The sequence below is a fragment of the Homo sapiens genome, chromosome 4 (genome assembly GCF_000001405.40).
Source record: "Homo sapiens chromosome 4, GRCh38.p14 Primary Assembly".
Lineage (NCBI taxonomy): Eukaryota > Metazoa > Chordata > Mammalia > Primates > Hominidae > Homo > Homo sapiens.
Genome location: NC_000004.12, coordinates 61,533,194 through 61,555,998, shown reverse-complemented (window position 1 = coordinate 61,555,998; position 22,805 = coordinate 61,533,194). Strand labels below are relative to the sequence as shown.

At 36.3% G+C, this 22,805-nt stretch overlaps 1 protein-coding gene across 59 annotated transcripts in view, besides 1 other annotated feature; it reads right to left on the bottom strand.

The window, feature by feature from the left end:
* Positions 1-22,805, bottom strand: part of ADGRL3 (adhesion G protein-coupled receptor L3) — an 878,010-nt gene that overhangs the window by 522,337 nt on the left and 332,868 nt on the right. The gene's annotated exons all lie outside the window — the stretch shown is intronic.
* Positions 14,714-15,008: an enhancer, noted in NCBI's record as "tiled region #11493; HepG2 Activating DNase matched - State 12:CtcfO". NCBI's record gives its function as "activates a minimal TATA promoter and a strong SV40 promoter by Sharpr-MPRA in HepG2 cells {active_cell/tissue: HepG2}" and the evidence as "EXISTENCE:reporter gene assay evidence [ECO:0000049][PMID:27701403]".

Sequence of the window (22,805 nt, the reverse complement as noted above, 5' to 3'; positions counted from 1 at the left end):
GGACAGCACAAGATACAGGTCATAAAGACCTTGCTGATAAAACAGGTTGTAGTAAAGAAGCCGGCTAAATCCTAGCAAAACCAAGCTAGCCACAAGAGTGACCTCTGGTTGTCCTCACTGCTTCACTCCCACCAGCGCAGTGATAGTTTACAGATGCCATGGCAACATCAGGAAGTTACCCTATATGGTCTAAAAAGGGGAGGCATGAATAATCCACCCCTTGTTTAGCATATAATCAAAAAATAACCATAAAAATGGGCAACCAACAGCCTTCAGGGCTGCTTTGTCTATGGAGTAGCCATTCTCTCATTCCTTTACTTTCCTAATAAACTTGTTTTCACTTTACAGACTCGCCCTGAGATCCAAGATCCCTCTCGGGGTCTGGATTGGAACCCCTTTCCTGCAACACTCCCACTAAAATGCCTTCCCATGAGGGCAGGCTATTTTGTCTGTTACTTATCCCCATCTGGCTGCTGTGTTCTCAGCATCTAGAACAGCTCTGAGAGCATAGTGTGCATTCATTTAATATTTACTGAAACAGAAGTAGAATGAATACAATTCTGGCTTTATTTTCTAAAGAGCCTCATGTGTTATTTGCACTCACAAAGAGAAACATTTCTGCTATCTTTTAGGTGGGAGATAAACAGCTAAGGTATATAATAAGGTAAAATTAAAATAGGTCTATACAAATTGGAAGAAATTTATCTTAATGAACCTTTAATAATATTCTAAAGTATATGAAGGGGATCAAAATATGCCATCCCCAAATATTCCACTTTGGCATAAGGATTATTTTGAGCTGAAGGCAATTAAGAAACCAGCAAACACAGAAGGAGCTCTCTCTGCTTTCCTCTTTTCTGCCTAAAAGCTGGGCATAAATTTCACTTTTGTAAGATAAATTAATATTCGTAAAGGAAATTTACATGGGTAAAGGTGTTCTCTCCCATACCAAGAAGAAGAAAATGAGACAGCTCTTACTACCAGAGGGACAAACTTTACTAAACAATCCTTGTTTATCATACATTTCCTGGTCAATTTACCTGCTACAGTCCAAACTTCCTTTTCCTTTGTCTAATATCTTCTCCATACTTTATTACTCTTTGTTAAAAAGGTATTTAAGCCCCTGGGTCTAAGTCCCTCTTTGGGGTTTTTGCTTCTTTTCTGGGAAACCCCTGTGTGTGAAGTAAACTTCCGTCAATCTGTTTTCCCTCAGTTTAATTCACAGTCCCCAGCTCCATAACCTAAGGGGACAGAGAAAAGTTTTTCTTCACTTACACAGAGATACAGTTTAATTCAGTATGGCCACTGAAATTAAAGTATAGGAATGTTGTAAGTTTAAAAGCATGTGCTACTCAGCAATTTTTTTCAAATCAATTTTATCCTCTGTCTCCCTCTCTCTCTGTCACATACACATGCACACAGTGCACACACACAAACCTACACAGATAGTGGTAAGAAAGCAGGTGGATGAAATTTTAAATATGAATAAAAATAAAATACCTAGGCCGGGCGCAGTGGCTCACACCTATAATACCAGCACTTTGGGAGGCCGAGGCGGGTGGATCATTTGAAGTCAGGAGTTTGAGACCAGCCTGACCAACATTGTGAAACCCCGTATCTACTAAAAATACAAAAAAATTAGCTAGACGTGGTGGCACGCGCCTGTAATCCCAGCTAATCTGGAGGCTGAGACATGAGAATCACTTGAACCTGGGAGGTGGAGGTTGCAGTGAGCCAAGAATGCGCCACTGCACTCCAGCCTGGGCAACAGAGTAAGACTCTGTCTCAAAAAATGAATAAAATAAAATAAAATAAAATAAAATAAAATACCTAAGTTAGGAGAGACATTTTTTATAAGCAAATAGGATCCAATATTTAAAATGTAAAAAAAAAAAAAATGGCCCAAGCCTAATTTCCAGTATATATCTGTAGCTTTGACTTTGAGATTCTTATTACCTTTTTTTGTTCTTTTATCAGATTTCACTCAAAAGCTTTCTCCTCTGTTCTCCGGCAGGTAGGAGCATTGCCCTACACTAATTTAAAGAGAACCCTACATACCACTGATATGTAAATTCTGATTGCCAGGGCTCAAATACTCTCCATTTGCATAAGCTAATTTAAAAGTGGGTTGTTAACTCTGTTCTGTGCTTGAGAAACTAAAAACCCAAAGATGTGAATTGTAGGAGTTAGTTCAGAAGTTTAGAGAGCTTGGACCAAGTCTACAAAATATCCTGTTGCCTAGCCACTGATTAACCAAACACTCCCACTGGGCAAGACATTTAGAACAGGACAAGCACTTGAAAAAAAAATGTGCAATGAATTAAAATTATTGAAGTTTCCTTTTATGCCTACACTTGTTATTAATACCTAAATAATACTTATTTCTCTTATTATATTGTGATGTCAGACAATAATCAATAAGTGCATGTGGGTAAAATAAAAATAAATAATGGCTCATAACTTGGAGGCTGAATCTATTTTAACGCTAAATCATTAATACATTTTAGCTTCATTTAGTATTCTGAGAAGTATTGTATGTTTGTGAGAGAATAATTAATAGTTGTATTATTTTATCGAACTCAAGAAAATCTCTCTCATCTGCCCAAAAATCTATTTTTCCATTTTGTCTACTGTATTGAAAGCTTATTTATACTTATTTGTATTATGATTATTTTTTATCTCAGTTATATATTTTAGGTACAGAGATGCTTACGTTGAATAGAAATGCTCTTTTTGCCTGTGGAATTTCAAACCAAAGGAGAGTGAAAATACAGGAATAATAGCTGTTTCACTTATTTCACAGCACATTTATATAAAGTTTGATTAAGAGAGATCTGTCCAGGCAATTTAGTAACATATCCAAATGTGCAATATGTACCTACGAACTATGCTTATTTCTAAAAGTGACTGGAGGCAACTTACAATTCAAATGGCTCAGGCGCAATAAGCCAAAAAACCTTTAACATGCACTGAAATTACCTGTTTTCCTGACTACTAGGTGGAGATTGATAGTATATATCTTTGTTTCCCGGAACTCACCATGGTCTGACACACTGTAAGGCCTTCATAAATATTTATGGAATAGACCAATACAAAGAAAGCTGAATATAGGACACTATATGAAGAAGACACAAGACAACAAAGAAATAAGCTAGACAGGGAAGCAATTTTAGATATTTTAAGTATACAAAGTCTAATAGTGTATTCTTGGCCTTGATATTAAAAAGGCTGATGGGACACGGTGGTTCATGCCTATAAGTCCAGCATCTTGGGAGGCCAAGACAAGAGGATCACTTGAGCCCAGGAGTTCACAACCAGTCTGGGCAATGCAGGGAGACCCCATCTCTACAAAATAAATAAATAAAAAATTAGCCAAGCATGGTGGCACACACCCCTGATGTCAGCTATTCAGAAGGCTGAGGTGGGAGGATTGTTTAGGCCTGGGAGGTTGAGGCTGCAGTGAGCCGTCATTGTACCACTGCACTCCAGCCTGAGTGACAGAGCGAAATCCTGTCACAAAATAAATAAATGAAATTAAATTAAAAATTAAAAAGGCAAGTGACATGTTACCTTCAACAGATTCAAAAGAAAATGGGAGTCTGTTTTGTGGTACTCACCCAGTGATATAGTTTGGTGATCTTCCGGGGATTTTCTTATAAAGAAAAAATATTTTTAAGTTGAAACATGTGAATCAAATGTCTGTAACCAGTTACCTGAACTATAGATTAAAAAGTAAAGAAAGCAACTGGTAATAAATGCTGAGACAGTGCCTGATGTTATAGTAGGTGCTCAATAAAAGGTTGAATGAATTAGTAAGTGACATATGAGCCTGTTATTGTCATTAAGCAGTTGCTTCTGTGTTTATTGGGTCTGTTACCTAGGCACTCACAAATTCTATACCTATAATCACACGTATTTTAAACACTTAAAACAGCCCCTAAATTGGTATTGTTATAATAAATGTAATCCATCTAATAAAATGTTGTGATTTTACTTACCCCTTAGTGGAGTGATAACCTCTACATTTTGGGCAAAGTTGCAGTATGTAATTACATTAATTTTGAGGCCATCCCACACAAGCGTCTTATACAATATATGTATACATAAGTGTATATAAACATACAGTGCCATTTACAGTCATAAATTCAGCCTTTTCAGAATATTGCAAACTATTGTCTTTCTGCAACTACCAATGTATGTTTTAAAAATATATGTCCTGAGGTTTTATTTACTCCTCAGTATTGTCCAGCTCTGTGATTCCTTGCAGAAATTCAGTTGTGACTATGTTTGTTTGAGATGAATGTGTAGCATAAATTATACAATTTATAATCTGTGTATATTACCCCATAATTAGAGATTTATCAACCCAAGGGGTGAGAAAACAACCTGGTTTATCTTAGCAAAAGGAGTCACATCCAACTCTCATGAGTTTTATATAAATGTAATCACAGCTTGTATAAATGCCAACCATACCTCATATGAGTAAAATGCTGGATTCTTCAATTATCACAGTTCTTTCAGTATCCTCTAGAATTAAAATTCTTAGTTTTGATGTATGAGAAAAATAATCAAAACACTTTTTTAACATAAAAATACCCACAGTGTCATGACTTTTTAAATACATATTTTTAACTCTAGCTGAAATGATACATTCTGATTATGACCTTGATATGTGTCATTTCTTTTTCACTGACTACAAAACTTTTATATAAAAATCACTATGCATTTGATAACACCTTTAATAGGTTGCTAAATAATTAAGTTTTAAGTGTTTAAGGAGTTACTGTATAATTGCGATTACACTTGTCTCAAGGCCTGGTTCTGGAGAAATAGCCTCAGAATCCTTAATTTAATCTAAAAGGAATATTCACAGTCACCCTTGGATCAGGTGTTTACTTACAGCCTACTAACATGTAAGCTGATATGAGAAAAGAAAAAATAGCTACCACGTGATTAATATCTTCAATGTAAAAATTTACAAGTGCCTAATCACACACATACACATACAAGCTGACAGAGAACAGTAAGGCGGGCCCTGTGGCCAGCTTAACTTATAATCTAAGTAGTGAGATATGTAGGAATTACCTGGATTTGTAGAGCCATTATTAAACAGGGTAATTACTTAGTTGGCCAGCTCCCTAGACTAATGACCTATATATTAATAAATATATCATGGCTCTAAAACTAAGCCTTAGCCAGCCTCTCCAAATCAATTCACTTCACAAATAAGAATACTGTTAGCATCATATGTATATTCTTTCCTTTGCTACCCCCTTGACTGCTACTACCAGTATCATTGATCTGCCATTCCCCACACCAAAGTATTCTGATAATTTTTTTAAGAAAATCTTAAAAATTTTCCTTTGCTATCCTCGCTTGACTACTACTTCAAATATCACTGATTCACCACTCCCCACACCAAAGTATCTTAAAAATGAACCCACAAAGGTTATAGGACATAGAAATAATATGTTTTGCCATAATATTTTATTGTCATGTCCAATTGGGGTATATACACATGCATGCATGCATATCTGAATTAAGGTAGAAATAAGGCATAGCACTTTCTGAGAAAGTAAACAAGTTCAAAATTGTCTTTCTTAAGAAAAGTGAATTATTTTAATTTATCATACCAACTTTGTAATTATTAACACTGTTGCCTTTTAAAACAACATCTAGGTAGCCTTTTAAACCTAGAAACCACAAAAGAAGTTAAAAACAATTTAGTTCCATTAACCTACCTATGTTCTTGACCTCAACTGGATCCCAAAGTAAAATTATTCCAATCAAAAATATTTTCATAAAGATGAATATACTATCTGAATTAAATAAATCTTCAAATAATATATTACATGATATTTCTATATTTTGGTAAGGAATTTTATCTCTCCTTGTGCTATTGTAATATGATTAAAATTATACACTAAAAATTACTCTCAAATCAAAACACCATTAGTTTTGACAGTTGATATGCTGCATTTGAGTATATTAAATGTGATTTAATAATGAAACTACAATTTTTAAATGTATACTTCTAAGATTAAAAACAGAGGAAAGAGCCACATAAATTTTATTTAAATATAAGAATTCATTGCTGGGTTGAAATGTGTATCAATATGTTGCTGAAAGAAAAATCTTATCCCTTCTTAAATATTCACATTATTAATCATCGGATTCAGAAACTAATTTTAATCAGGGAAGTTATATTAATTTAGTTAAAATATATTCTAGTGCTTAATAAATGCAAGATATTGTTCAAGGCCCTGTAAATACAGCTGTGATTAAGCCAGGCAATACTGGGACCTGAATCTTACGGTAAACAATATTTTAGAGGAATAAAGTAAAATTTGGTAGGCAGATAATAAAATTAAGAAAAAAAACATAAAAAATAACATCTAGTCTTCCACAGAGAATTGAAATAGAATGATGCAATAAGGAGTAACTGGTAAACCTGTTTGTCAGAGAGCGTGTCTCCACAAAAATGATAATTACACTGAGGATAGCAGAGGAAGTTCTCAGGCAAAAATGAGGAGGAACAATCTAAGCAGACAAAATAATTAATGCAAAGTTGGGCAAAAGCTGAAAGCATTCCCCTTGAAATCCTGAACAAGACAAAGATGCCCTCTCTCATCAATCCCATTCAACAGAGTACTGGAAGCCTTGGTCACAACAATCAGGCAAGAAAAAGAAATAAAAGACATCCAAATAGGAAGAGAGGAAATCAAATTATCCCTGTTTGCAGTATGATTCTATACCTAGAAAACCCCAAAAGCTCCTTGATCTGATAAGCAACTTCAGCAAAGTCTCAGGATAAAAAATCAATATACAAATATCAGTAGCATACCTATATACCAACATTCAAGCTGAGAGCCAAATCAAGAATGCAATCCCATTCACAATAGCCACAAAAAGAATAAAATATCTAGAAATACAGCTAATTAGGAAGGTGAAAGATCCCTACAATGATAATTATAAAACACTGCTCAAAGAAATCAGTGATGACACAAACAAATGGAAAAACACTCCATCCTCATCGATAGGAAGAGTCAATATTGTTAAAACACCCATATTGCCCAAATCAATGTACAGATTCAACACTATTCCTATCAAACTACCTACAACATTCATCACACAATCAGAAAAAAAACTAGGGAACCATAGTTCTGAAAATTCACATGGAACCAAAAAATAGCTCAAATAGCCAAGGCAATCCTAAATTCATATGAAACCAAAAAAGAGCCCAAATAGCCAAGTCAATCCTAAGCAAAAACAACAAAGCTGGAGGCATCACATTACCTGATTTCAAACTATACTATAAGAATACAGTAATCAAAAAAGCATGATATTAGTACAAAGACAGACAAATAGACCAGTGGAACAAAATAGAAAGTCTAGAAATAATACCACACATAGGTAACCATATGATCTTTGACAAAGCTGACAAAGGCAACAGGGAAAGGACTCCCTATTCAATAAATGGTGCTGGGATAACTAAGTAGCCATATTCAGAAGACTGACATTGGACCTTTAACTACACCATATGCAAAAATCAACTAAAGATGGATTAAAGGCTCAAATGTAAAACCTAAAACTATAAAAACTCTTGAAGATAATCTAGAAAATATCATTGCGGACACAGGCCCTGGCAAAGATTTCATGATGAAGATCATCAAAAGCAATTGCAACAACAACAAAAATTGACAAATCGTACCTAATTAAACTAAAGAGCTTCTGCACAGCAAAAGAAACTCTCAACAGAGTAAACCAACAACCTACAAATGGAGAAAAAACATGCAAACTATGCATCTGACAAAGGTCTAATATTCAGAATGTATGAGGAACATAAACAAATGTGCAAGCAAAAAGCAAACAACCCCATTAAACATGGGCAAAGGACATGAACAGACTTCTCAAAATAAGACATACATGTAGCCAACAAGCATATGAAAAAATACTCAACATCACTAATCATCAACAAGCATATGAAAAAATACTCAACATCACTAATCATCAGAGAAATGCAAATCAAAACCACCTTCTTACACCAGTAAGAATGGCTACTATTAAAAAGTCAAAAAATAACACATGCTGGGGAGGTTGCAGAGAAAAGAGAACACTTATACACACTTGGTGGAAATGTAAATTTATTCAGCCACTGTGTGAAGCAGTTTGGCAATTTCTCAAAAAACTGAAAGAAGAAATATCATTTGACCCACTAACCCTATTATAGGGTATATACCCAAAGGAATATAAATTGTTCTACTGTAAAAAGACATTCATGTGTATATTCACTGCAGCAGTATTCACAGTAGCAAAGATATGGAATCAACCTAAATACCCATCAATGGTATACTGGATAACATGGTACATATACACCATGGAAAACTATGCAGCCATAAAAAGAATGAGACCATGTTCTTTGCAGTAACATGGATGGAGCTTGAGGACATTATCCTAAGTAAACTAACACAGGAACAGAAAACCAAATACCACATACTCTCACTTAAAGTGGGAGTTAAACATACAGACACAAAGAAGGGAGCAACAAACATTGGTGCCTACTTGAGATTGAAGGGTGAGAGAAGGGTGAGGATTGAAAAACTACCTATCAGGTACTATGCTTATTACCCGGTGACAAAATAATCTGTGTACCAAATTCCTCTGACATGCAATTTACCTACATGACAAACCTGCACATGTATCCCTAAATCTAAAAAAAAAAAAGTAAAAAAAACCAAAAAACCCAGAAAATTATTGTGGCTGATAGATACACAGAGAGCAATGGTGTGCTGGTAAATATTTAACAACCAGTTCTTTAGAAAGACACATGTATGTATACAGAAATGTACATTAAATTTATTATAATTTACTGATGTAAAATATGTAAAGCTCACAATCTGCAAACAATAAAGAAATACACAATGCTTTCTATAGTAATTTCTATACAGCTAATTGATTCTCTCAGAATACGTTCACTGAGTTTTGATGAACTCTTGTATCTGTTATCAAACTATGGTTGTAACTGATAAATGAGTTTAGTTCTGAAATAAATATTTTTTGATATTTTTGTGTACTTTCATGAGCAAGATGAAAGTGAGACAAAAAAGACATATGGTGGAACTTCACTTGTTCATCAGTGATGTGAATAACTTTTTTGCTTCATGGCACAAGTTTCCAAATACTGGACTATTTCTTCAATTTTTTTTGTGCTATTCACAATGTAACAGCTACAGACACACCCTTTTAACTTTAGTCTGCATTTTAAACATTTTCTCATGTCTGGAGAATCAGCAAATCATCAAATGAAACCCTATTTTGTAATATTTGCCCATTTCTATGGTGTAAATACTCCCTTCAGGGTTGATTTCTGGCTATAAACGTGACTTCATTGAACATGAAGTTGGGAAAGTATGTGCAGTAGTACGGCATTATATGGTATTTCTATTGTACACATACAATATATAAAAAGACACCAAGAGCAATGAGAATAGTAAAATATAGTAAAAATAACTAGGAAATAATAATCTTGGAGTAGTTATTATATTTCCTTATATTGCAGTCTATTTAACTGTAAGATTATACAATATTTGTAATAGTTGGTTTTAACAACTGGCTTGCAAAATTCCTGAAAATTTAACAACAGGTTCTCACAGGTCAGTGCAAGCCAGCATGAGCACACTGGTGTAATACAGACATATAGTAATATAAATGAGGCTGCAGATGTAAACAGACATATCTGGCAAGGGCTTTGTAAACCAATGCAGGGAGTTTTTATTTCATCCGAAGAGTAAAGTTAAGCCGTCAGAGAGTTGAAATCCGGAGAGAGATATGACTCAATTTGTGTCTTAAAATGTTCCCTCTCAGTGCTCTGGAGAATTAATTTCAAGTGGGTAAGAGCAGAAGCAGTGACACTAGCCAGAAGCTACTGGAAATAGTCTAGGCAAGAGATAACCAGGGCTTAGACAAGAATGAGGATGATGATTTGGAAGCAGACTGACAGTGCTTATTGATGTGGGGACAGCACAGTCCTTAGATTAAACTAAGAGGACCCACATATTGCAGTCATAAAAACATAGAAAGTTTTTTTGTTTTTTGTTTGTTTGTTTGTTTGTTTGTTTGTTTTGGTTATAAGAAAGATTTTTGAAACTTCAAACACCTCAAACATAGAGAGAGAAAGACACAGAGGCCCCGCGCGGTAGCTTACGCCTGTAATCCCAGCACTTTGGGAGGCCGAGGCAGGAAGATCACCTGAGGTCAGGAGTTTGAGACCAGCCTGGCCAACACAGCCAAACCCTGCCTCTACTAAAAAGTACAAAAATTAGGTGGGTGTGGTGGCGTGCGCCTGTAGTCCCAGCTACTCAGGAAGCTGAGGCCGGAGAATCACTTGAACTCGGCAGGCGGAGGTTGCAGTGAGCCGAGATGGCGTCACTGCACTCCAGCCTGGGCAACAGAGTGAGACTCAGAGAAGGAGAGACAGGGAGAAAAGCTGAACTGGCTCCCTGAGGCGGAGGAAATGCGTTTGAGAGCTAATGAGCAGTCTGGAAATCCTGAGTTGGAAAAGTAAGATATGAAAGAGAGGCACTGCCCCAACCTCTGTCTCTAGGGTTTCATTAGGTCAGTCCTAGCTCTGGGTGGATCCTGAGCTGAACCCAGCTTCTACTTTTTCCTGCCACGTACATCAGTACTAACCAGGTTTGTCAGGGTTGGCCCTACAAGGAGGGGAACTCCTTTTGCCTCTAGATTTCAGAATGATAACCTCAGTGGGAACATGGGCTGGGTAACGGGGACAGCTTGGTCTGTAATTTTTAATTACAACTTATGATATGCTGACTTCCGTTTAAACTCCTATTTTATGTCCCACAAATGTTAAGGACAATGCAGGAGGAGAAGTAAAGGAAAGAAAAATCCAAGATTACTTCTAGATTTTTGACTGGATATCAGCATGATTCACTTAATCAACTTACCACAAATCAATCTAAGTTGAACAAACTTCCAGTCAAAATCCAATTATACTTTTAAAGAGGAATTTGACAATGTGTTTTAACATTTTTAGCAAATTCTGAAAAAAAAGAGTAAAAGAAAAAAATACTTGTTAATGAAAGTATTAAGCCATATTGCAAAGTGTTAGTGAAATAGATACAGACTAATGAAGCAGTGAAAGAGAATAAAGAGTTTATGAATACATGGGAATTTGTTCTAAACAACAAACATCATAAATCATTGGAAAGAGGTTCCATTATTTGGTAATGTATGTTGAAAACATAAGACTTGCTCCATAAAAAATGTATTTCTAACTCATAAAATATAAAAACTTCAAATTAATGTATTTAAATTCTTAATGTGATTATAAATGTGAAAACTAAAATATTTTTGATACTGGGTAAACAATGGTTTATAAGGTAATACTTGCAAATATAAAACCAAAAGGGAAAAAACAGAATTTTCTGATTACGTCTCAATGAAAGATTTCTGTACACATGTATCTAAAGGGAGATAGACAGGAAGAAGTTATTTGCACATTTGAAAATGGCAAAGGCTTACTTACCATCAGTAGTTCTTAAAAGCTAGGATGAAAAAAATACAAAGAGAAAAATAGGTAAAGACTATAAAGAATAAATTTATAGAAGGTGTTGTCCAAATAGCTAATTGGTACTGAAGAAAAGTTCATTCTCTTTAGTAATCAGAGAAATGCAAATCAAAACAATGAGATACCACCTAATGTCTCTCAGGTATATAAAAAATATCAGAAAACTGAACACCATTAAGGTTGGGTGCAGCTATGAAGAAAGGGGAGCTGACTCACTGGTGCAAGTGAAAACTGATGCCGTCATTCTGGAGAATGGTCAATGTTGCTCAATAGTAAAGTTACCTATGTGTATAATCTACTCCTAAATATATTCCCAAGGAAACTCACACTGATCCACAAGAAGACATCCAGTACAACGCTTGTCACGTTGTTTTTAATCATAAAGAGTTAGAAGCATCCTAAGTAGTTCCATCACATAAGTAGACTGTGATACAAACACAGAGTGGACTAATATGAGCAGACAAAGTCTTGAGGAGACTGGATGGGTAAAATGTGGTATATGCCTAAGATGAAAGATGATACAGCAGTGAAATATTCAAATAATGGAATATGTTGAAATTAAAATCACTGAACAAACTTTATAGCAATACAGATGCAGTTTAAATATAGCATTGTGTGAAAAAAGTAGTAAATAAGATGAATAGCACACCACCACCTATGCATTTATGCATGGTTAAAAACGTGAAGCATTTTCTATTCTATTAAGGATACAGGTATGTTTAAGTAAACTTTGAAAGTAAGACTGGAAGAATAAACGTTAAATATACTAGAGTGAGGCAGGAGAATGAACTTGAAAATGGAAGAAGAGAATGTATTAAGTTTTCTATTGCGCAGTAACAAATTACCACAAAGTAAGTGGCTTACTACAACACAAATTTTATTATCTTCTAGTTCTGCAGGTCAAAAATCTGGCATGCTTCTCTCCGGGCTAAAATCAGCCAGTCAGGAAGGCTATGTTCCTTTCTCTGCCAGTAAGGGAGCATTCTAGCTTTTAGAAGCTCCTTTCCTTCATCTTCAAAGATGGCAAACATTGCATCTCCTTGTGCCTTTCTCCCTTCTTCTTCTCACTCTCCCCTTTGCCTCCTGCTTCCACTTTTAAGGGTCTTTGAGATTACAATGAACCCATCTACATAATCCAGGATAATCTCCCTACCTCAATGTCCTTAATTTAATCACATCTGCAAAGTCCTTTATGCCATGTAAAATTAGAAATTCTCAGGTTCCAGGGATTCAAATGTGGATATTTCTGGGGAAGTCGAGGTGGGGGGGTGGGGGGGAGGGATAATTCTGCCTACCATAAAGAAAAGTATTAGTAAATACATAAAACAAATACTGAACAAGTTGGGAAGAACGATAATAGTGTGCCACCCAATGAGGAATAAAATCAACTCAATTCTGTGAGTCTGACTAAAAAATATAATAAAGAAAAGTGGAAGATGGGACTGAGGAGTTGTTAATGGTGTCATACAATGCTGAGAAGTCAACTAGAATAAGGTAGAGGAAATAAACATTGTATATGGCAAATAGAAATACTTGACCTTAATAAAAGCAATCTTAGTGTAGCGATAGCAAAGAATGTAGGATTAAAGTGTATTGAAGAGAGGATGTGAGGTGAAGGAATGGTAAGAAAGCACAGTCACACTTCCATAAATATGTATTTGTGTTATGCAAAAATCTCTTTCTAGCAGAAATAAAATGCCACAAAATAGGGAGTGCATTAAAGTAAATCATTCCATCCCCTTAATGGACTATGATGCATAAGCAACTGCTATAAACACTTTCAAAGGGTCTGATATTCTCAAAAGGAAAAAAAAAGGCAGATAAAATGTACTTACATAGTACAATCGCGACTGCATTAAAAGAAATAAATGCATGGATAAAACGAGAAAATACATGCAAGCCTTCATAGTGGTTGTCTTTATCAGGTTGATATGTAGATTTTTGTCTTTTAAATTTTTCTGTACTGTCTTAATTATCTATTATGGACAGAAATTATTTTTCAATTCTCAGAAAATGTTTAGACGTAGGGGAACTTTTTGCAGCTGTTTTTATTTGAGCAGCTACAAACAAAATGTAAATATTTCACCTAAAATGTATATTTGTTCACAGTAAATAAATTGTGAAACTTGATTAGAAATGGAACCAAGATTCACTAAATTGGTCTCAGCCCATTAACTATGAGGAAGTTACATAAAACCTCTAGGCCACAATTTCCTCTGGATTGAAGCTATGATCCCAAAGGTTCCTTTTAGCTTAAACATTTTATGAGAGTATCCAGATTCCAGTTACAGTGTTATAGTCACACAGTCATCTCTACTTACCTAAAAATCTATATAGTTAACTTAGATTAAAAATTATCAGGAAAAAAGAGAAAAATCTCTTGAACTAATTCTAATAATCAGAGTTTGTTAAAGTGTGGATAAATTGGCCACGACCCCACATCACATTATCACAAAACATGGTGATAGTCACACAGAGAATAAAATGATTTAAAATGGTTTCAAAAACTTGACGAGCTCAGCTACTGAAATACTAGTGTGTGTGTGTGTGTGTGTGTGTGTGTGTGTGTATACACACACACATATATATCTAAGGCTCAAAAAATTCACTTGCCTGGTTGGTTGCCTTTCTTTACAGATTATTTGCTTTGATAAGAGAGAAAGAAAGGCCACACATAGAGCCACAAGGGAACACTGGATAATCAACGAATTATCTTTTTAGCAGAGAGCTGCCTCTGGAAATGTAGCGAGGAATTGCTGTCCAGGTAACCAAGCTGAATAGAGCTCCTATTTCTACCTTCTGGCTTTCTTAGTAGCAACTTTCTGGTCATAATGACTTTGGAGTTCAGCTATCACATGGGACCAAATGCCCCTTAGTGAAGAATGTCAATACTTCATTTCTAATTCTTTCTGTTGATATTTCCTTAGACACACAGGCTTTCAAAGATATAAAATGGCAGCCTGCATGCATGGGATTACAGGAAAGTCCATTACAATGTCTGGCTAAAAGAGTCAACTACATGTTACTTGCCCAGGTGTCAGAAAAAAAAAAAAAAAAAAAAAAAATCTCTACCAGAAAACAGCATCTGCTCCACCCTTGCCCTCACTGACAGCCAGCTGTTTTCAGTTATTCTCACCTGCTGTACAGGTTCTCTCAGGGTGAACTCTCACCAGGGGTGGAACAAACAAAGACAACCAAGACTAGGCAATCAAGCTGCTTCAGTACTTTTATTTGCCGCTGGGGCCACGAACTCCTTCTACCCATCTCACCCAGGATCTTTCACTTCCTATAACTCTCCAGGCTGCTGGCAGTTTCTGTGAACTTTGGAGTGCCCCTCCTACCCTGCCTCTGATAACAGTGTCCTACTGGTTTCTGCTTACCAAGCCTCTGGCTCCTTACCTCCTCAGCTCAGCTGATCATAATTACATTGTGACTAAACATATACAGCTATTTTTTTTTTCTTTTGGGGAATATGTTCTATATCAAATTTAGCCTTTGACAAAAGTTCAGTGAAACGATCATTTTATATTTTAACTTCTTTTGTATACCCAAAGATGCCCCTTGCTGTTCCTAATCAGGTAGTAAAAAGTAGATCCTGATATGCACATATTTAATTTTTTTTGTGTGTTCTTTCAATATATCTGCCTGGGCATTAAATTTACATTAAACTTCAAGCACAATGAACTTAACCTGAAAATTGTGTTCTATTCTCAAATATTGTCCCTAAAAGTATCGCTACATTCAATCCAGTTTTAGGAATATGCTTAATAATTTTAATATCTAAAACATATGGAAATCTTACATCCCTTGAAGAAAATCCATTGTATTTTTTTTTCTTTTTTTCTTTTCTTTTCTTTTTTTGTTGAGACAGAGTCTCGCTCTGTCAACCAGGCTAGAGTGCGGTGGCAAAATCTTGGCTCACTGCACCTCCGCCTTGTGGGTTCAAGTGAATCTCCTACCTCAGCCTCCCGGATAGCTGGGATTACAGGCTTGTGCCACTACACCTGGCTAATTTTTGTATTTTTAGTAGAGACGGAGTTTCTCCTAATTGGCCAGGCTGGTGTTGAACTCCTGACCTCAAGTGAGCTGCCTGCCTTGGCCTCCCAAAGTGCTGGGATTACAGGCATAAGCCACCACGCCTGGCAGATTTCCACTGTATTTAACTCAGTATTGGGGTTTAAAATGTGGTAAAGTGGTAAATATTTCAGACTTTGAGGGAAGATTCCCTGAGCTGAAATATTTAGCCTGATATGACTTTGGACGAGTTATTTAATTTCTTTATTTGTAAAAGGGGTAGTAGTGGTACTTACATCATAGGTTGGTTATGAGTTAATACATGCATAGTGCTGAAAAATGTACCTGGCATTATTTTTTTCTCAAGATGGCTGACTAGGGAATGCTTAGTTCAAATGCCAGTTCTTAAGAAGAAGATCAAAGTGGTAGGTGAATGGTCAGGATTTGAATGGAAAGCTGAGGGAGGAGAGCCAGGTCCTGTCAGACAGCCCATGGGAAGAAGTCAGGGCACAGAAAAGGGAAGCAGAAAGGCTCTGGCAGAGACAGTCCCCTGAGGGACTTGGAGCCCTGTGGGAAGGGTAGGTGGGGGTGCTTCTCTGCTCCCCTTACCCCTGCAACAATATGCTTACCACCAAATTGTCGGGGAGAAAGTCTGCCTTTGTGACCCTGGGCAACACTGTCAGTGGTGATCTGTGAACTTCCCAGAGACAGAGCACCAAGTAGCCAGCTTGGACAGGTACACTGGCTCTCCCCCTCAGGCCTGAACTGAGACGATGCACACCACGCTGTTTGCGTACCCACTGTGGCTTACTGCCAGGCCCTAGAAATCTAAGCCTTTCTGTCACCACATCACCTGATCCCCTACAAAAAGACCCCAGAGCACACTCTGACTTTTGCAACTGTAGAGGACTAGCAGATCCTTGGAGAGTTATGGGGCCCCTGAAGATCTAACGCTCAGTGAGGGCCACCCATAGGGGATGAGGGAGTGCAGCCTGCCAAAGCCCACTGGGCATTGTCAATTGTACTGATAACCAGGAATAGAAGGAATAGGCGTGGAGAGAAGGCCGTCTCCTGTTCCCCAACCCACTGTTACAGACACAGCAGAGGCTCTCCTCACTGGGGGCTGGCATCAGTGCCCCGGAGACAGCCACTCTGTGCATTTTGCGGCAGCTGCACCCCTATTGAAAGTAAGCTAGCACTGCACAGGTTTGCATGAAGGGTGTAGCCCATCTTTCCCTCCCTACATAAAGCACTAGCTTGTGTAGGGGGTGACACAGGGCAAAATAGTCACAGAGCTGTCAGTTCTGGACTAGGGGAAGGGGCTCTGCCCTGAGCCCATTTTGGTGGTAGCCACCATGGTCTGCAATCACCCAGTAGCCAGAGGCAAAGGACAGTCTATATGAGCTGAAGGTCATGATCCCTATGACAGGGATGTAATAGGAAAGTTGATTACATTCCTGCCTGCACAGGACAAGAAGCTGGTGCACCCACACCTACCACCCCTGCTCCTGAGACTTCAATGCAACCCAACGCAATCTTCCCCAGCCACCCCCAGTCAGGGCAGGGGCTTCCATTCATTGTCAGATTACCCAAAGGCACATGCCCATCTACTGGACTGGAGATTAAACTGTACCACCAAATAAAATCCTGCTATCAGGCCAGGCATGGTGGCTCATGTCTGTAATCCCAGCACTTTGGGAGGTCAAGATGGGTGGATCACCAGAGGTAGGGAGTTCGAGACCAGCCTGACCAACATGGAGAAACCCTGTCTCTACTAAAAATACAAAAAAATTAGCCGGGCGTGGTGGTGCATGCCTGTAATCCCAGCTACTCATGAGGCTGAGGCAGGAGAATCGCTTGAAGCTGGGAAGCGGAGGTTGCGGTGAGCTGAGATCGCACCATTGCCCTCCAGCCTGGGCAACAAGATCGAAACTCCATCTCAACAAAAAAACAAACAAACAACAACAATAAAAAACTCCTGCTATCAGAAGGGCATAGTCCTAGTGTATGAGATAAGCTCCCTAAGACCTCCACACTCTCAGACCCGCAGAAGATGGTGTGTCAACTCACACATCCAACACATCACTACAACAAGCATCATTTGAAAAAGCCACTACGTAGACAATAGCTATTCACAACAAAGAAGCACACAACGAGTCTTAGCCCCCTGAAAACACCTAGAAATGAAGCCAAAATATACACAACAAACACTATAGACCTCAAGGGGAAAAAAGTTTTTATTTTATTTTATTTTATTTTTTTATTTCCCATCCAACTGAAGCCATTTCAAAAATAAGAAGCAATAGCTTCTACAGATGAGAAGGAATCCATGTAAAAACTCCAGCGGTACAAAAACACAGAGTATTTAGAGACCTCCAAAGGATTGTACCAGCTCTCAGGCAATGAATCCTCACCAAAATGAAAATTCTGAAATGACAGATGAAGAATTTAAAAAAATGAATTGCAAGGAAGCTTGATGAGATCGATGGGAAGGTTGAAAAGCAGTACAAAGAAACCAGAAATATAATTCAGGATATGAAAGACAAGATAGCTAGAATAAGGATAGAGGAAACAAGCACTGAATTTGGATTTATTAAAATGGAAATACTTGATCTTAATCGAAGCAATCTTAGTATAGTGATAGTGAAGAATGAAGAATTAAATGTCTCTCTCTATACAGAACGTTGGGAATTTAAAAATTCACTAAAGGAACTCCAAAATACAGTTGGAAGCCTAGATGATAGATTAGACCAAGTAGAAGAAGAAAGAATTTCAGACATTGGAGCCCTGTCTTTTGAATTAAGACAAAAAATAAAAATAAAGATTTTTTTAATGAACAAAGCCTTTGAGAAATATAAAATTATTTAAAGTGACCAAACCTATTACTTGTAGGTATTGCTGAGAAGAAGAAAAAATAAGCAATTTGGAAAACATATTTGAGGAAATAATTGAAGAAAATATCTGTAATCTTGCCAGAGAGGTAAATATCCAGATACAGTAAATTAACACTTGCAAGATACAACACAAGCTGAACATCACCAAAGCACACACTCATCAGACCAAAATCAATGCTGAAGAAAAAAATCTTAAAGGCAGATAGAGAAAAGGGTAAATCACTTATTAAGGAAATTCCAACAAACTAACAGTTGACTTCTCAGCAGAAACTTTACAAACCAAAACAGATTGAGGGTCTCTTTTTAGACTACCTAAATTAAAAAAAAAAAAATGCAAGGCAAGAATTTCAAATCTGTCAAACTAAGCTTCATAACGGAGAGATAAAGTCTTTCCCAGACAAGCAAATGTTAAGAGAATTCTTCACGACTAGACACATTCTACAAAAAAATACTCAAAGGAGTTCTAAACGTGGAAATAAAAGGATAATATGCACTAACATAAAAGCACACATCCGTAAAAAGTTCACAGATCTTATCAAAGCAGTTATATAATTGAGAGTACAAAGCAAGTAGTTAACAACACTATGACAAGAATAATACCTCACATATCAATATTAACTTTGAATATAAAAAGCCTAAGTGCTCCACTTAAAAGATTTATCTGGCAAATTGGGAAAAAAAAGAGCCTACCATCTGTTGTCTACAAGAGACCTACCTAATGTGTAATGACATCCACAGGTTCAAAGTAAAGGGGTGGTGACAGATATATCATGCAAATGGAAAACAAAAAAGAGCAGGGATGGTTATTCTTGTATCAATTAAAAGACACTTTAAACCAACAATACTAAAAAAAGACAAAGAAAGGCATTATATAATGATAAAGGGTTCAATGCAACAAGAAGATTTACCTATCCTAAATATTAATATATATGCACCCAACACCAGAGCACCCAGATTTATAAAACAAATACTACTAGACCTAGCAAAAGAGATAGACATCCATACAATAATAGTGAGGAACTTCAACACCGCACTGAGAGCAGTAGATAGATTATCAACGCAGAAAACAAAGAAACTCAGGACTTAAACTAGACTCTTGAGCAAATGAGCCTAGTAGATATCTACAGAACACTCTACCCAACAAATGTAGAATATACATTTTCCTCATCTGCACATGGAAGATTCTCTAAAACTGACCATATGCTTGGCGATAAAGCACGTCTCAATAAACTCGAAAGAATTGAAATAATATCAAGTATCATCTTAGACCACAGCGGAATAACATTAGAAACCAGTTCCACAGGGAACTCTCAAAACCACACAAGTACATGGAAACTAAACAACTCACTCCTGAATGACTTTTGGATAAACAACAACATTAAGGCAGCAATCAAAAATTTTTTAGAAACATATAAAAGGCATAACATACCAAACCCTCTGGAATACAGCAAAAAAACAGCAAAGTTTATAGTGCTAATTGCCTACATCAAAAAGAAAGATTTCCAATTAACAACCTAATATCACACCCAAAGGAACTAGAAAAATAAGAACAAACCAAACTCAAAGCTAGTAGAAGGGAAGAAATAACACAGTTCAAGAAGACCTAAATAAAATTGAGCCTAAAAGTACAAAGAATAAATGAAGTAAAAAATTGGTTATTTGAAAGGATGAACAAAATTGATAGATGCCAGCTAGATTAACGAAGAAGAAAAGATGGAAAAAAGCACAATGCCAAAGAAAGACAAAAGATTATCAAAGACTATTATGAAAATCTCTATGTGCACAAACTAGAAAACCTAGAGAAGTGGGTAAATTCTTGGAAACATACAATCTTACAAGACTGAACAACAAGGAAAAAAAATACAATCCTGAACAGGCCAATAATTAGTTATGAAAATGAATCAGTAGTAAAAAAAACTACCAACAAGAAGAATCCCAGGACCAGGTGGATTCACACCTGAATTCTACCAGATGTACAAAGAAAAGTTGGTACCAATCTTAATGAAACTAATCCAAAGAGTTGAGGAGAAGGTATTCCTCTTTAACACATTCTATGAAATCAGTATCATCCTAACACCAAAATCTGGCAATGACACAACAAATGAAAACTACAGACCAATATCCCTGATGAACACAGATGCAAAAATCCTCAACAAAATACTAGCAAACCAAATCCAACACCCTATCCAAAAATAATCCATCACGATCAAATGGGTCTTATTCCAAGGATGCAAGGATGGTTAGACATACACAATTCAGTAAATTTGATTTACTCCATGCACCAAATTAAAAACAAATGCCATGTGATCATCTCAATAGATTCAGAGACAGCATTAGACAGTATCCAACATCCCTTCTTGGTTTTAAAAAACCCTCAACAAACTAGGCATAAAAAAAAATACCTCAATATAATATGAGCCATATATGACAAACTAATGGCCAACATTATACTGAATGGGTAAAAGTTGAAAGTATTCCCCCTAAAAACTCAAAAAAGATGAGGATGTCCACTTCTCAGCACTCCTATTCAACATAGTATTGGAAATTCTAGCCTGAGCAATCAGACAAGAGAAAAAAATAACAGGCATCCAAATTGGAAAAGAGGAAGTCAAATTATCTCTGTTCACTGATGACATGATCTTATAAAATCTTAAAGACTCTTCCAAAAGACACCTAGACTTGATAAATGACTTCAGTAAAATTTCAGGATACAAAATTGATACACAAAAATCAGTTGCATACCTATATGCCAACAATTCTCAAGCTGAGAACCAAATTAAGAACTCAATCCCATTTAAAATATCCACACACAAAAATAATAAAATACCTATGAATACATTTAATGAAGGAATTTAAAATCCTCTACGAGGAGAACCACAAAACACTGATGAATGAAATTGTAGATTACATAAACCAATAGAAAAAGTGCCATGCTCATGCATAGGAAGAGTCAATTATCATTAAAATGACTATACTCCCCAAAGCAATCTAGAGATTCAGTGCATTTCCTATCAAATTATTGACATCATTTTTCACAGAATTAGAAAAAAAAAGTCTAAAATTTATACGGAATCAAAAAAGAGGCTGAATAGCTAACGCATTCCAAACAACAAGAGCAAAGCTGGAGACATCACATTTCCTGACTTTAAACTATAAGGCAAGAATAATCAAAATAGCATGATGTTGGCATAAATGTAGATACATAGGCCAGTGGAACAGAATAGAACGAAAAATAAAGCCACACAGTGACAACCAACTAATCTTTGACAAAGCTGACAAAAATAAACAATGGAGAAAGGACACCTTATGCAATAAATGCTGCTGGGAAAGCTGGCTAGCCATATGCAGAAAAATGAAACTGGGCCCCTATCTCTCAACCATATAGAAAAATTAAGATGGATAAAAATGACTTAAATGCAAAACCTGAAACAACAAAAACCCTAGGAGAAAACCTAGAAAAAACTCTTCTGTACATTGGTCTAGGCAAATAATTTATGACTAAGACCTCAAAAGCAAATGCAACAAAATCAAAATTGTGTCACCATCACACAATATACCCATATAACAAACCTGCACGTGTATCCCCTGAATCTGAAATAAAATAAAATAACAAAAAATATGTACCTAGTATATAGCACTTTTTCACTAAGTTACTTATTGATGTCATTGTTATTAATTTGCATATTTTTTACGCTAAAATTTCAAAAAGAGTGTCCATTTCACGAGTAATAAGTTATTTATTAGGAGAACCTCATCAGACATTTGAGTGCAAAGCTATGCTTTAGAAATCATAATATTAGAAAATTACTCCATGTGGTCATTTCAAAGAATAGAAAATAGACAACCTAACCATTTTACAATAGACATAATAAACAATTAAGCATGCTATGATACAGAGGCTAAGGTCAGAGAACAAAGAAAGGGATCTCTGAAATTTATTTAGATTTTATTCAATGGTTTATCTTCTAGTTACTGAGGTAAGTAATGGTGAAACTAGTGAAAATAGTTACAATGAAGGTGATAAAAAAAATACAAATGCTCTCAGAGAGATTACAATCTAGCCCAGTTTCCCAGGAAATATATATTGTCCAAGTCTAACCTAGTTCCTTTGTTTTCACAAATGAGGACTCATACACACAGCCCAGAGGTGCTGTCCTAATTCCCGTGGTTTGGAAGTGAGTCAGAGCTAAAACCAGTCTACCTCTTCCTACAGAGATCCCACTTGCCACATCACAATGATTTCAACCTTTGAGATCTTAGGTTGAAACTGCCAAGGGTGCATGTTGAAAAACTTCATCATATATACATTT